The sequence below is a fragment of the Homo sapiens genome, chromosome 10 (assembly GCF_000001405.40).
Source record: "Homo sapiens chromosome 10, GRCh38.p14 Primary Assembly".
Taxonomy (NCBI): Eukaryota; Metazoa; Chordata; class Mammalia; order Primates; family Hominidae; genus Homo; species Homo sapiens.
In genome coordinates this window covers 81,863,876-81,877,289 of record NC_000010.11, presented here as the reverse complement: position 1 = coordinate 81,877,289, position 13,414 = coordinate 81,863,876, and the positions used below count along the sequence as shown (strand labels likewise).

At 46.5% G+C, this 13,414-nt stretch overlaps 1 protein-coding gene and 2 long non-coding RNA genes across 23 annotated transcripts in view, besides 1 other annotated feature; 1 reads left to right on the top strand and 2 right to left on the bottom strand.

Annotated features, from left to right (window-relative positions):
* Nucleotides 1–2,096, bottom strand: part of NRG3 (neuregulin 3) — a 1,111,986-nt gene extending 1,109,890 nt beyond the window's left edge. For 20 of the 21 annotated variants that reach the window (NR_163251.1, XR_001747009.3, XM_017015573.3 and 17 more), the window contains exon 1: nt 1,127–2,096. Coding sequence is in view for 19 of the 21 variants with exons in the window: in XM_017015573.3 (XP_016871062.1) it covers nt 1,127–1,949 (823 nt within the window). In the remaining 2 variants the exon portion in view is untranslated. The remainder of the gene's footprint in view (nt 1–1,126) is intronic. The other variant, NM_001165972.1, reaches the window with a different exon arrangement.
* Nucleotides 385–1,147: an enhancer, noted in NCBI's record as "H3K4me1 hESC enhancer chr10:83635899-83636661 (GRCh37/hg19 assembly coordinates)". NCBI's record gives its function as "activates a minimal SCP1, AML or CMV promoter by ChIP-STARR-seq in naive H9 embryonic stem cells {active_cell/tissue: H9 hESC(naive)}" and the evidence as "EXISTENCE:reporter gene assay evidence [ECO:0000049][PMID:30033119]".
* Nucleotides 2,772–3,918, top strand: LOC124902549 (uncharacterized). The gene is made up of 2 exons (XR_007062377.1): nt 2,772–2,941; nt 3,789–3,918. It is a non-coding gene; the product is annotated as an uncharacterized LOC124902549 (long non-coding RNA).
* On the bottom strand, nt 11,520–13,027 carry LOC105378390 (uncharacterized). Its single transcript, XR_946135.3, has 3 exons — nt 12,906–13,027; nt 11,939–12,075; nt 11,520–11,608 (listed from the first exon to the last, which is right to left on the bottom strand). It is a non-coding gene; the product is annotated as an uncharacterized LOC105378390 (long non-coding RNA).
* Between the last annotated feature and the right edge of the window lie 387 nt (nt 13,028–13,414).

The following is a 13,414-nucleotide window of genomic DNA, read 5'->3' as shown; positions in this document are numbered from 1 at the left end:
TGATCAGATCAGCTTAAAAGACACCTGAGATTTCCTTTGAATAAGAACAAGGTGGGGGTTGGGGTGGGAGGTCAATTAGTCACCTACAACATTTATAAAAATGTTGAGAAAATACGCACTTTCTATACAAATAAACAGAAAGCTATCATGCTTTGGGTATACTGGCTCATACTGAGCCCAGGTTGAAGATGCTACATTCTAACGGTGACATGTTTCCAAACGGTTGGATGTTCTCACCCTTGAGTGCAGAAAACTCTCAACTCGTCTATATTTTTCAGGCACAGAGGGAGAGGAGATAAGGTTCACACCCCACCTTTGGGAACGGAACAAAAGCAAAGGCTTGGCAGGGCTGAAAAAAACTCCTCCTTCGTCAGGACCCTAGAGGTGGCAGCTCTGCAGGGCTCCCTTCATATTTCCTCCTAGTTAACTCACTCTCGGCGGTCACAGAATCTATGTCTACACCTTGGAATGGCCACAGGCAGGCTAGGAGGTCAGTTTAGCCCTTTGCCTTGGATCGCCTCCTTTCCCCAAGTCTCCCAGTGGCTTCTAATTAACCCTTTCTGGTTCCTGCCCAGGTCAGGGCTGCTGGAAGCGTCCTCAGCAACATTCTACCATTATCTCCATCAACTCGTCACCCCACACAAGGACATAACTTCCTTTTGTGGTTTATCGTCGGTCAATTTGCATGTGCTTTGCTTTCTTTCCTTCCTACCGGCGGGCGGAGAAGGGGCTCAGTGCCTTCGGGAAGGCCCTCTCTCCCTCCCTGGCCCTCTACTGGAGCGGGATCCGGCAGCTCGCCAGCAGGTCTGCAGTGAGGAGGGATCGCACTCGCGTTAACCCTTTGAAGGGAGTTGGGAGATCTGTTCTCACTTGGGACCCGCTAAAGTGGGGCCAGTGGAGCCTGACAATCTCCCTCCCGTTCCTACACGCCCCCACCCCCCCAGAACCAGAGCAGGCTGGCACCTTCTTCCCCGCTGGTGGCCAGTTTTAATCAGCTCTCACTCTGCCCCAAACCTGGGATGGGGGAGGGGGCTTGCTAGAAAACAGGCGGCGAGGGAAAAAGACAGCAGGAGGGCAGAAGGGAAACTCAGTAGTAAATCATAGTTGAGACACAGTGTTTACTTACGAAATTTGGGGCTGGTGCTAGTTTCTGGTGTGGTGGTGGTAGCGGAGGAGGAAGAAGAGGAAGAAGAGGAGGCAGCATCCTGAAAGGGAGACAGGGTCCAGGAGGGAGTAGAATCGTGAAGGTAGGAGGAGGTAGCGTATGCCGCAGTAGGCCAGGAGGGCATTGCCTGGGTACTTGGAGTTCCTGGCACCGGGGGTCGGGAGCCCAGCGTGCTGCTACTGAAGAACGGGGCCGTGGTGGACGGGACCGTCGCAGGGGCCGCAGTGTTCCGTGCTGTGGTGGAGCGCGGGCTGGCCCGGATGGGCACCCGGTGCCCGGGGAAGCGAGTGGGCGCCCGCGTGATGGTGGTCAGGCGAGTGCTAATCCGGTTGGGCGTCCTGGAGGAGGCGGCACCCCCGGCGGAGGGGGTGGCGGGGGACGTGGTGGAAGTGGTAGTGGTGGTGGTCTCCATGGCCTTGGGGAAAGAGCTGGGCTTGGAGAGGAAGAAGGGGTCCTGGCCCATCCCCTTGGAGTCCACTAGGTCGGTGGGCACGTACTCCTTGACGGAGCCCACCACGATCCATTTGAGAAGCATGAGGCTGAGCCCCAGGCCGATGAAGCCGATGAACAGAGGTACCACGCACAGCCACGTCTGCTGCCGGTTCCACACGATGCAGTCGCTACAGCGTAACTCCCGGGGGGGCTCGGCCGCCCCTTCGCCGCCGCCGTCCGGGCCCCCGCCCGCCGCTGCCGCCGCCGCAGCCGCCGCGGTGCCCTCCTCGGCCGAGGCGGCGGCTGCCGAAGCGGCACCAGGTGGCGAGGCAGCGGCCGCCCCTTCACTCATCCTAGGAGCCGGTCTTCACCTTCGCCCCCCCGAGGGCCGCGGCAGAGGCATGGGGCCGCGCGGGCCGGGCGCGGGCGCGGGCGCGGGCTCCGGCGGCGGCGGCGGGCTCGGGCGCAGGCAGCGGCCGCGGCGGCCGCATGCAAATCCGCTCCCTGCCCCCACGCCCCTCCCCCCGAGAGGCGGGCGGCGGGCGGGGAGGAGAGGAGCGGGGGAGGGGACGGGGCCGGGGAGGGGGCGGTAAGGAGCTCGGAAGAGGGGCGAGACGGGCCCCCGGCGCCTCCGGTCGGTCAGAGAGCGGCGGGGCGCGTCTGCAGCCCTCCAAGCCGCCTCCTGCGCGCCGGGTCCCCGCGCCCGCTGCTGCTGCTGCTGCCCGCCGCCTGCGTGCGCTCCAGGAGCGCCGACATCCTCGGGGCACCGCGCCCAGCCCGCTCCCTGGGGCGCCCGCTCGCGCCGCGCCTGGGCCTCGCGCCGCCTTCAGTGGCCCCGGCGGCCGGTCGCGGGGTGCCGGGTGCCCGCCACCCGCATTCCGACACAGAGGGCCTGCCTGGCCGCCGCGATCTTCGGCGGCTGCTCCGCGAGCCCGGGCGGTGAGGTGCACCTGTTCTTCAGCCGGCCCGCAGCCAACCCTCGGCCAGCACTCTTCTGGAGAGACCAATCCCAGCGCAGCGCGGAGGGCTAGCGGCCCGGCTCGCCTTGCTCCAGCCGTTCGCTGCTGCGCGCCGCTGCCGCCGCCGCCGGAGAGTCAAACTCCAGCGAACAGCGCCGCTGTCGCCGCCGCGAGCCAGGGGCTGGGGGCGCACCGGGCGCCCGCGGCGGGTGCGGTCTGACCCGCCTCCGAGGGACCCAACAAGCAGGCAGAGGATCGGAAATCACGCCCCGGCGCCCTGCCCGGTTGAGCGTGGGGGACGGAAGCGGGAGACTGCGTCGGGGGTCCCGGGGAACGCAGACCCCGGGCTGAGGGCGTCTCCAGACGGGCTCTGGCTGCCAGGCTGGTGCGTGTGTGTGTGCAGAATCGCCGCGGCGGGCTGGGATTCGGGCAGAGTAGCGCCTCCCACTAGCAGCTAATGCTGGTTTCTTAATGCACACAAGATAGATAAATGATCCAAGCAAACCCCCGTTTGCGGTGGGGTGGGGGGGCAAAAGCAGCTTCCGACCGATTGTGAGTCGTCTCCTGTACGGATCCAGTGGGGTCAGAGACTGACGCTGCTGGGCGAGGGGGCGGGGGCGGATGCGGGTGGGAGGGTGCCTGTGCCCTCCCCTGCCGGATGGCGGTGCGGCTGGATGGAAGGCCACCTTTGCCTGAGTTCCTGAGAGATGCAGGTGGAGCAGAAGACCTTTGTATAATCAGACCTGTCAGATATCTCCAAGCCATTTATGTGAACTTGCCTTAAAATATTGTCTTTACCTGTAAATGTACGCACAGGTACACACGTTACAAGGCAAGTGTTTGTGAGAGGTAAATATGAAAGGATTTGGGGTTGGACTCCCAAATTCCGTTACTGCTTTCTTCCCTTGGCTGGGGAGGCACCTGTGTACCTATTTCTCCAGCGCTGTGTGGTACCTGCCGAGGCAAGGGGCAAAGAGCCAGTGTTAGCATGACATATGCCGACAGTGCAAAACCTTGCTTGCCAACTCTCCCCAGATTTCCTGGTCTAAAGTGAAAACCGAAGAGGAGGGGTTTTTATTTACAAGCGTTAAGAATATGAGGTTGAGAAAGGCAACTTTCTAATACATTCCCCCAGCACTGTCTGATTGGCGTGGATGATGGAGCCCGCATTCTCTTGTCCTGTGATAGTCTCCACAAAGATGAAGTTTTCAAGGTATCCATTTTATTCACAGGGGGAGAGCCAAACGTTACACTGAAGAGACTGCAGAGAGCAGAGGATGCATTGAAACAGGAAGCCCCTGGGGTTTGGTGCCTACCAGAGTACTTTGCACAGACAAGGTTAATAAATTATTTTTGATGGCAGTAATGCGGCTGTCACCTCTTTCAGCTATAACATTGAGACTTTCCCCATAGGAAAGCTTTTGATTTTTAGTTTGATGGAACATGCCTTAATCTAGTAGTGCTGAATTATGGTTCCAAAAATTGTAAGCAAAAAAAAAAAAACCAGAATCCTTTGAATCCAAATTCCTTTAGCTTTCCAATGTAAAGCACTGCCATCTTAAGTAAAAACTGACCCAGTATCTACCTTCTGTAGGTGCTAGGAATCTACTTCCCAGCTAGGAATCTACTTGCCCAGCCTTTCTTGTGTAGCAAATAAAAGCTTTCCTGCAAACCTCTCTGGAATTATAGCAGGTGCTACTGTCAGCTATTTGAGACAGAAAATTACTTTTCCCAAGCACTCCTAGTTCATTGCCCATCCCCACCACTGCCAGTATTCCTGTGGTCTCTCCCATTTTTTCTGCCTGGTAGAGTAAATCCAGTGTACAGAAAGGGATGCTATAATGCTGCAGCTGGGCAAATGCAGGCAAATGTTCCCTTTCCTGAAGCCACAGTCTGACAGCATTCACTCCATGTTCTCTCAGTACTCCCTAATGCCTTCTTCATCTGCCTCTCCAAATTCCCTCTACTTCTCATTTCCACTTGGCTTTAACAGCTTATTCATGTATCCCTGTTGAGCTCATTTTGCCCCAGATCCCAAGCCACCGTACTCAGCTACCCATTGGTTGTTCTCACAGTGAACATCATCACTAGAGAGAGAGAAAAAAAAAATCAAAACGTTGCTTTGATAGCCTTGTATTGGGGAACAGGTTGTACCACCCTATCCAAGAATGTTTGGCTGGTGCAACCATCATTAACTTGCAATTTTATTGTGAGGCTCCCTGGTAGCAGGTGGTAAGCACTGGCACTGGAAGTGAGAATGGGGAGGGGGCTGTCCACAGTTGTGTCGAGGACAAGTAGTGGACCCTCTCACTGCTAATAAGCAGCCAGTTAGTCAGTCCCATGGTAGGGAGGAGCCTCGTTCTGGTGACTCAGAGCTCACTGGAGCAGAACGCTGAAGAAGCAGCTTCAGGCTCAGACTCTTAATACAGGGATTCAAGTTAGAGCTCTGCCACTTATAAGCAATAAAATCACTCTGGGCCACTGTTTTTTCAACTGTGTAATGGAGGTATGATGCCCACATTCTACGTAATTATATGAAATTGTATAGCTAAATGGACTATTCACCTATGGCACCATTTAAGCATTATCCTCAGATATCTTCCTGTGGAGATAATTATTCTAACAAATGGGTGTGGCATGCCTCAGCCTCCCCTGAGCTTCCCATCTGCCTGACTATAATTACCTGTGGATATCTCCTATGTGGTCTACTGACACACTAAACTTGGGATTTCTAATCATTGCCTAAAGTTTGACACAAGTCAGCATTTCTATTGAAATGCAGTTTTCCCCTCAATGGCACCAATATCCCCAGGCTGAGAGTCTCAGTGCCATCTGACTCCTTACCCGCCATTTCCCAAGTTCAATTAGTTGTCAAGTCATTTACTTTCTACAGTATGATTGTCCAGGGCTTCCTCCATTGCAAAGTCTTTGGTAAAGGCTCATCTTTGAAACCACAAGGCTGTAAATGACCTCAGTGGCCAAACACCTCTGATGTGTCATCTCATCACATGTCCCAGGTGTTGGGTTTCTTCTGGCTCTCTGGCAAAGGGCACTTCCTGGGGAAGACCACCCAGCCTGTCAGTGTACATAATTAGAAAAGTCTTTTTGTTGAGACAAAAGTCGGCCTTCCCATACATTCACTCTTTCTCCTTAGCTCATTCTTTATAGAAACCTTTTACAAATTATATACCAGGCACAGAGGATATAACAGAGAACACTGTTAAGGCCCCTACCTTCATGGAGCTTATATTTTAGAGAGACTGATCATGATCAAACACAATAGATAAATTTTATAGTCTATCAGAAAATGAAAAGTGCAGGTTTGGACCACCAAGAACCTGCCTAGTTAGTGTAATTACAAAGGATATCTCCAGTCCAAGATCCTCAATCTGTTTCCAATCCCCACAAGGCCATGAGAACTTGACACTCCTAGCAATATGACACCAGAGTGCTCTTTTATTCCCTGTGGGTTCCCTGGCTAGTGTACTCACTTTTGAAGCCAGTCTGGCCTGCAAAATCCTAATATTCTTCATAATGTTTACTGGAATCATGTAGAGGCAATGTGGTTCCCGAACACATTTCACAGAGTAAACATTTTGCAAAGCATGAATAAGGTTAACCTTCCATATGACTGCATATGTCCTTTTTCTCCCTTGGTTTAGTCCACTACTGTGATTATAATGATACACATTTTTTAGTAATCATGGTGGCCTTTTTAAAAGAAAAGTTGATTGCTTTCTTCACAGGTCTCAATAAGTAAGTTTATTTCTTGTGAGTTCTTGATGCTGTATGTGTAGGATCAACCCAAAAATCTACTGGAAAATCCCCACATGGATCACATTATTCATAACAGCTTGACTCCCAAGCATTTCTGCATTACAACCCAATATCATAAATAAAATGAATAATAAAATATAAAAAGTATACAGAGCAAAATCTGAAAGTGGAAAGTGAAGAATTCTAGTTCTAACCATACGATAGTCACAAGATGATTCTACCAATCTTCAAAGACTTAAGGTATTTGGAATGTTACCAAATTGCACTATCATAAATTAGAAAATGCCGACTACGGTATAACAGGATGTGGAATTAGAAGTTTTTAATAAGGCACTAAGGAAAAAAAATAGATGTGAATTTTTAGTGGGAGGTGCCAGAAAACAATACCCAAATTTCAAAATAGGTTAACTATGAACTGGGTAGATAGCACAACACATTGTAGATCGGGGGAGAATTTTTGTTTGTTTTTTTTGTTTTGTTTTGTTTCGTTTTGTTTTTGAGATGGCGTCTTGCTCTGTTGCCCAGGCTGGAGTGCAGTGGCATGATCTTGGCTCACTGCAACCTCCACCTCCCAGGTTCAAGTGATTCTCCTGCCTCAACCTCCCAAGTAGCTGGGATTGCAGATGCCCGCGACCACACCTGGGTAGTTTTTGTATTTTTAGTAGAGACAGGCTTTCGCCATGTTTGTCAGGCTGGTCTCAAACTCCTGACCTCAGGTTATCTGCCCACCTCAGCCTCCCAAAGTGCTAGGATTACAGGTGTGAGCCGCTGTGCCCAGCCCAGGGAGAATTTCTGTGAAGAGGCTACCTTTAGCAGAAGTTGTGCCTGAGTTCAGTGGGGGAGGAACACAAGTACAGAGCCTTTTTCTTCAAGTACAGATATGTATCACTTAACAACAAGGATATGTTCTAAGAAATGTGTCATTAGGCGATTTTGTTATTGTGTGACATTGTAGTGTATACTTAGAGAAAACTATGGTATGGCCATCTACACACCTAGGCTATGGGGTGTGGTCTATTGCTCCCAGGCTATACCTGTAGAGCATGTTACTATATTGAATATTGCAGAAGATTATAACACAATGGTATTTGTGTATATAGATATAGCTAGGCATAGAAAAGGTACAGTCAAAATATGATGTTATAATCTTAGGGAACCACCACTATATGTGTGGTCCATCATTGACTGGACCGTCCTTATGCACAGCATGACTCTATGGTGAGAGGGGACTAAAAGAGAATCCTGGAGAGCTCAATCTGGGACCCTTAGTGTTTGAATGAACCTCATTGGATTGGGACACAAGCCTCAGGAATGCCAAATCAAGGAGATGGGTTAAGTGGGCTGTGGCAGCAGCAGACAATTTAAGCATTTGCCATCCTCAGAAGGCACGAAGATAGAGCCCAGGTGGAATGTTGGGTGAGTGTAGAGGAGAGGAGCATTAGTCGAAAATGAGCTGGAAAGTCAGTGGTAAAGGGTGTGATTGTGATAGATGTTTATGTAATTCTTTTCGCATTGCATTCGAACTGCCTGTACTTTAAGGTACCAACATGGGTACGTTATTCTTGACATTCAAAGTTGCCATTGCTCTTTGTCTATCTAGTTTTTGGTCTCCTTGTCGATAGTTTTTGCCTTTTTTTTCTTTTAGACAGAGTCTCACTCTTGTCACCAGGCTGGAGTGCAGTGGTGCGATCTTGGCTCACTGCAACCTGCCTCCTGGGTTGAGGTGATTCTCCTGCCTCAGCCTCCCAAGTAGCTGCGACTACAGGCATGTGCCACCACGCCTGGCTAATTTTTGTATTTTTAGTAGAGATTAGGTTTCAACATGTTGGCCAGGATGGTCTCAATCTTTTGACCTCATGATCCAGCCGCCTCGGCCTCTCAAAGTGCTGGGATTACAGGCGTGAGCCACCATGCCTGGCCTTAGTTTTTGCCTTTCTATCCATGTCATGCCTGGCATCTTCCCCCAACATTGGTAGATATATTTTTCTTAGATTGCTTCACTGTGCAATTCTATTCTTTTGGAATCATCTGATTGGATCTAAAACTGGAGAACTGGTAGATGGAAATTTACCTTGACAATTCACTGATCAAGCACCCTCAGAGAACCCAGTGCTTTGGAAAGGGTTTTTAAAAAACGGCTTCTCAGCAGGGTTAGAAACAAAGGCGGTGGGATTTTCTCCTCCTTCCAAACCACAAGCAGGATTTCATTTGACAATTTACATGCTTCTCACCACTCCTGGATCGGGTCAGTGTAAAGGAACTTCTAGTATAGAAGGGATGTGATGCCAGCTGTCTGAAATTCCTATAAGTGAGGAAAAACATCTTTGTTTCAAGCTTCATTATTCCTAAGAAAGGCAGCTTATTACGCTGCATTCAGAACGAGCTGATGTGATTTCATGTTTGTATAAATAACACTTTGGCTTCATCTCACCTGCGTTTTCTAGAAATCTTCATTCTGCTTCCTTAGATTTTGGGCTAAAACCTTCGTAACACACTATGGGAGAAAACAAACAAATACTTTTCTACATTTCTTCACTGGTTCATTTTATGCCTACACCATGGAGACTCCCTGCTAAGCTGTTCAGAGAAATCCGAGGACAGATAGCCTTGGTGCCACATCTGAGACCTTTGCTTACAATAGCTGACCTGCTCAACATGGCCCTAACTTGTTTATCTCATAGAATATTAAGATACAAGTATGAGTTTAGAATTTCCTCGCCCACTTCCCAATCTTTCTGAGGATTATTAGTAGTCTGTGAAGGTTTTCAGGTGGCCCACAATCTCTCCCTCATATCAGGTAAAGAAATGTATTCTTGATAATAGATCAATCATCAGTAAAGAAAGAGCAGAGGCTTTGGATTCAGACAGACTTGAACCTGACTTTCAGCAAGTTGTTGTGTGGTTGAAAAGTGTCACTTATGATGTGCTCAGTGCTGTGGTTGGCATATAGTAGACAGGTCAGAGGTAGTAACAGGTATTGTAATGAAAATCCAAATTGCCAGCGTGGAACGTTATCTTAGAGCCTGCCTTTTCCAACAAGTTTTGCAGGAGATATTCACAGGAGTTTGGTGCTGTGTTATTTCTGTTAACAAGCTGGATCTTGGCAGTGTATGTGAGCTTCAGGGCCAGGGAAGGGGCACTGTGGAGAGGCATGGACTTCATAGCCCCAGGTGATGAATGCATCTTCATTCCCTCCCCTGTGTGCTACCCCACCACCACCACCAACAACAACAAAGCCCACAGAATTACAGAGGAATACATGTTGATATCTCATAGCAGATTTGGCCCATCTGTTATCTCCAAGAAGGGCATTCTGAGAGGACAAAACTTGCTCAGTACTCTAAATTGAGAAAGAAAAAACGAAAACACCACCTAGTTTATTTAGACAAAATTATCAACTGAAACCCAGCAGGCTAACAATGCCCATCCCTTGTGAGAAAGATACTCCAATGGGTTTTGGAGACTTAGAAAACGTGTTCTTTATCTTGCTCTTGAGAATTTTATGATTTGGTGGAAGGTGATTCCCTGTTTTAAACAAAAATGAATAAAAGTACCAATGTGTATTTATGTGTCTATGTAACTTTGCCAGTGGGCAGTGCTTAAACTGAATGCAGATAGTAAAGGAAAAAAGATTATACAAGGACTAGCTGGTTGTGAACTTCTCAACTGCCTTCAGAGTATTGTTCAGGATTGTCTGAGTAGTTTCTTAAGTGTCATAGTTTTGTTCAGCATTACTGATGCCAAAGACAAAAGGAGAACCAGTAAGGAAATTGATTTTATTCAGGCTATTACAATAAGGAAAGCACACTAGATCTGAAAATCAGAATGTCTTAGCACAGTGGTTTTGCCCTGGACTGTCACAGGGAGGAACACAGCATGATTTACAGTTGGGGCTATTGTACAATTAGGTGGAGTCCCAGTCACTTAGCTGAACAGGAAATGTTTATCTCTGTGTCTAGCCAGTTTCAGGGGGAGGGACAGTTCTAGTCTTAGGCTAATCATTTATGAGATAAAGAACAACAAAGTGGAGGGTCTGTGTCTGACCTTTTCAGCTGGTACAGGAAAAAGGAAGGTCTGTGTTTGGCCTCATCATCAACCAGGGGGTCACCCATGTCTTATGGGAGTCATGGGAAAGAGTGGACAAGCAGTGTTATCTCAGTCCCATGGGAAAAGGTGGTTCTTGGTGGTGAGCCACTTCCTGGAACACAGAAGTGGGAAGGGATTTCTGAAAACCAAAATTATGGGGGTGGATTCCTTAAGCATTACTGTTCCGTAGGGGCATAGGGCTCAGGTAAAGTTCAATATTGACATTGACATAAATTTATGTTCTCTTTTTAACATTATAAGAATGCGTTTGTGCTAATAATTCTTAGTAATGATAAGAGTGGAAACATATCCTGTAAGACTCATGTTTCTTTTTTCCTTACATGGAAAATACAAAGTAAAATTACTCCCAAATCTTTACTACTGGTGAAAAACAGTGAAATGCCATAGGAATACCATGTGTATCTCCATTTGACAAAATATTCTTCATGTTCTAGTTAGCTTGGCAGTTAGAGAATATTTTAGAATTTAGAAGCCACAAAACGGTATCCTAGTAAATCTTTTAAAGCCATGGGTATAATCCTATGTAATTTATAACATACACAAACTATGTCAAGATTTTTACTGTTTTTTGTGGGAGCTTGTCTAGTGTACATTTTTTGTCTCAATATCATTGCTTTTAATTAATGCAGCAATGAAAGACTATGGGAAAACATCTTCTGCTTTGAATATAGACATTGTAGGACAATTGAATAACACATTTGACCAATCATTATGTTTGTGCATGCTTGTGCTTGGGGTGTGTGTGTGTGTGTGTGTGGTGACATACGTAACACAGGGGGATATGGAAGCAGTTTTTACATTAAAATTTTCCAGGGAACAAGGTGGAATAGAAATGGAATTATATGTCTAGATTAATGAAAACTATATACTCAACAGTGATAATTAGATTTCATACAGAATTAAGAGACAGAAAGTGAAAACAGAAAGCTCTTTAGGCTTACGTACTCAAAGGAATTCCACAGAGTTGGGAAATGTAAAGTTGACCCCCCTGAGAGACTAGCCAGGCCGAATGGCTCCTATTGTGCTTCAGAGAGAGAGCAAGCTGCTTCAGAAGCAGACAAGAGGAGTTTAGAATGGTGTCCAACCCACTGCTGATGGTTGTTAATATGGAAAACTCTCTACCAGGAACTGGAGTAAGGTTCACCCAACTCTGATCTCCCCTGAGTCACTGCAAAGGAAAACAATTTTTAGTCTCCACTACATTGAATAACATTAAAAATCAAAACAACACTATTTATGGTTAATGGTTTAAATATTAAAGAAAATATTAGTCAAAAGTCTCAAAATTATCATGTTGGGAATGACATAATCAAAAAATAACCTCCTTGGGAAATTTTCAATTAGCTACGAAGTATTCCCCTGGTAAGCAGACTAGGATATATTGGTGATCTCTTGCTTTAAGGCAGATTTGCAAATAATTACACACTATTTGCCACCCCACACATAACTCTGTCTGTTGTCCTTTCTCTCACTGGGAGGACTAAAGAAGTAAACTCACAATTGGTATTCCTCATGTTTCTCCAGGACACACATCTGATTTCTCTGGGCAGTTGTCTTAGCAGCAAGATACCTCTTAGGCAAGGCATGATGGGTTTCCAGAATTTGAACCCGAACTGCACCTGTACCTTCTGTTCACTGAAGTGATAAGCATAAATATTTAAGCAAGAGGCTAGAACCCTGGTCTAAGTCCTAGAAATTCAATGTAGGCCTGAAGAAGGACAAAAGAAATCTGAGGTTCTATATGGAAATTTACAAGGGGGACCCAGAAATAGAAAGATTTAGAAGTTACATTAAAAACTTTGGCGAATTCTAAAAGTTGTAGCCATGTTCAAGTGCACTGAAAGAAGAACCTGAAGGGAATTGAACCTCCTTCACAATCTTGCAGGCAGTCTTTTCTGAAAGCTGTAGTCCAGTGACCCTTTGAAGTGGCAAGGCACATTCAGGATCTCATCATCCTATAATGCTAATGGGTAAAAAGTGATACCTTTCATCTTTAAAGCTTTCAGACAAACTTACATCATTCAAATTCTTCAAGCAGTTCCCCTTTCCTGCAGAAAAAAATGGCAATTTCTTCTTTCTAAAAATCTTTTTTTAATTTTTAAGTTTTTTTGTGTGATTGAGATGGAATATCATGGAGTCATTATGTCTTTTGTTTCCAGACATGATGTCAGAAATGTCATCCCGAAGAAAGACAACTCTGTGCATCAAAGTTGTCTTGTCTCACTGTGCATTCAAGGGAGACTTAAACGGAGTTGCAAATATTTTGATTAAGCTAACCAAGGGTCACATGTAATTTCTGAAAACACAGATATCAAATACTTGATGGATTTAGAGAACGTGTGTACATAGAGCAAAGAGGAGAGTTGAAACTATGAACAGTAAATTATTGATTCTCTAATATGATGAAGGATATGGGTAGTGGAGAATGCATTTTAACAAACAGGAAGGCTATGATTGAATCTTACTTTGTCTAACAATTTGATGAAAATCTCTGGGTCTCAGTTATATTGTCCACAAAATTTGGGAAGCACCATGGCCAGGATTGCTATAATGTTAAAACAGAAAACAAATGTGAATATATTTTGAATATTTTAAAACACTCTGCATATATTTTAAAACATTCAAATACAATCAATTAATGTGATTATGAACATTTATTGTATTCAATTGTATCTTTATATTGGATGATATGGAATATATGTAAACTTCACTGTTTTTTAAAAGATCTCAAACTGGAATGTAAAAGGGCAACTTTTTTTCACAATTTTATACTATGTGTCAGACTTCCTTTGTTCTTTCTAGGTTCCTCTCTACCAAAAGCAAATGGAAGTTCTCCAGGGTACACATTCCCAGGGGCACAGGCTAGGCCATTCCTTGAAAGCTACTGCTTTGGCAAGCTTGTAACCAATAGGAATATATGCTGTCTAAGCTGTCATTCTTTGCCCTTTGGGGTTAGGGTGGAGGTGAGAGGACT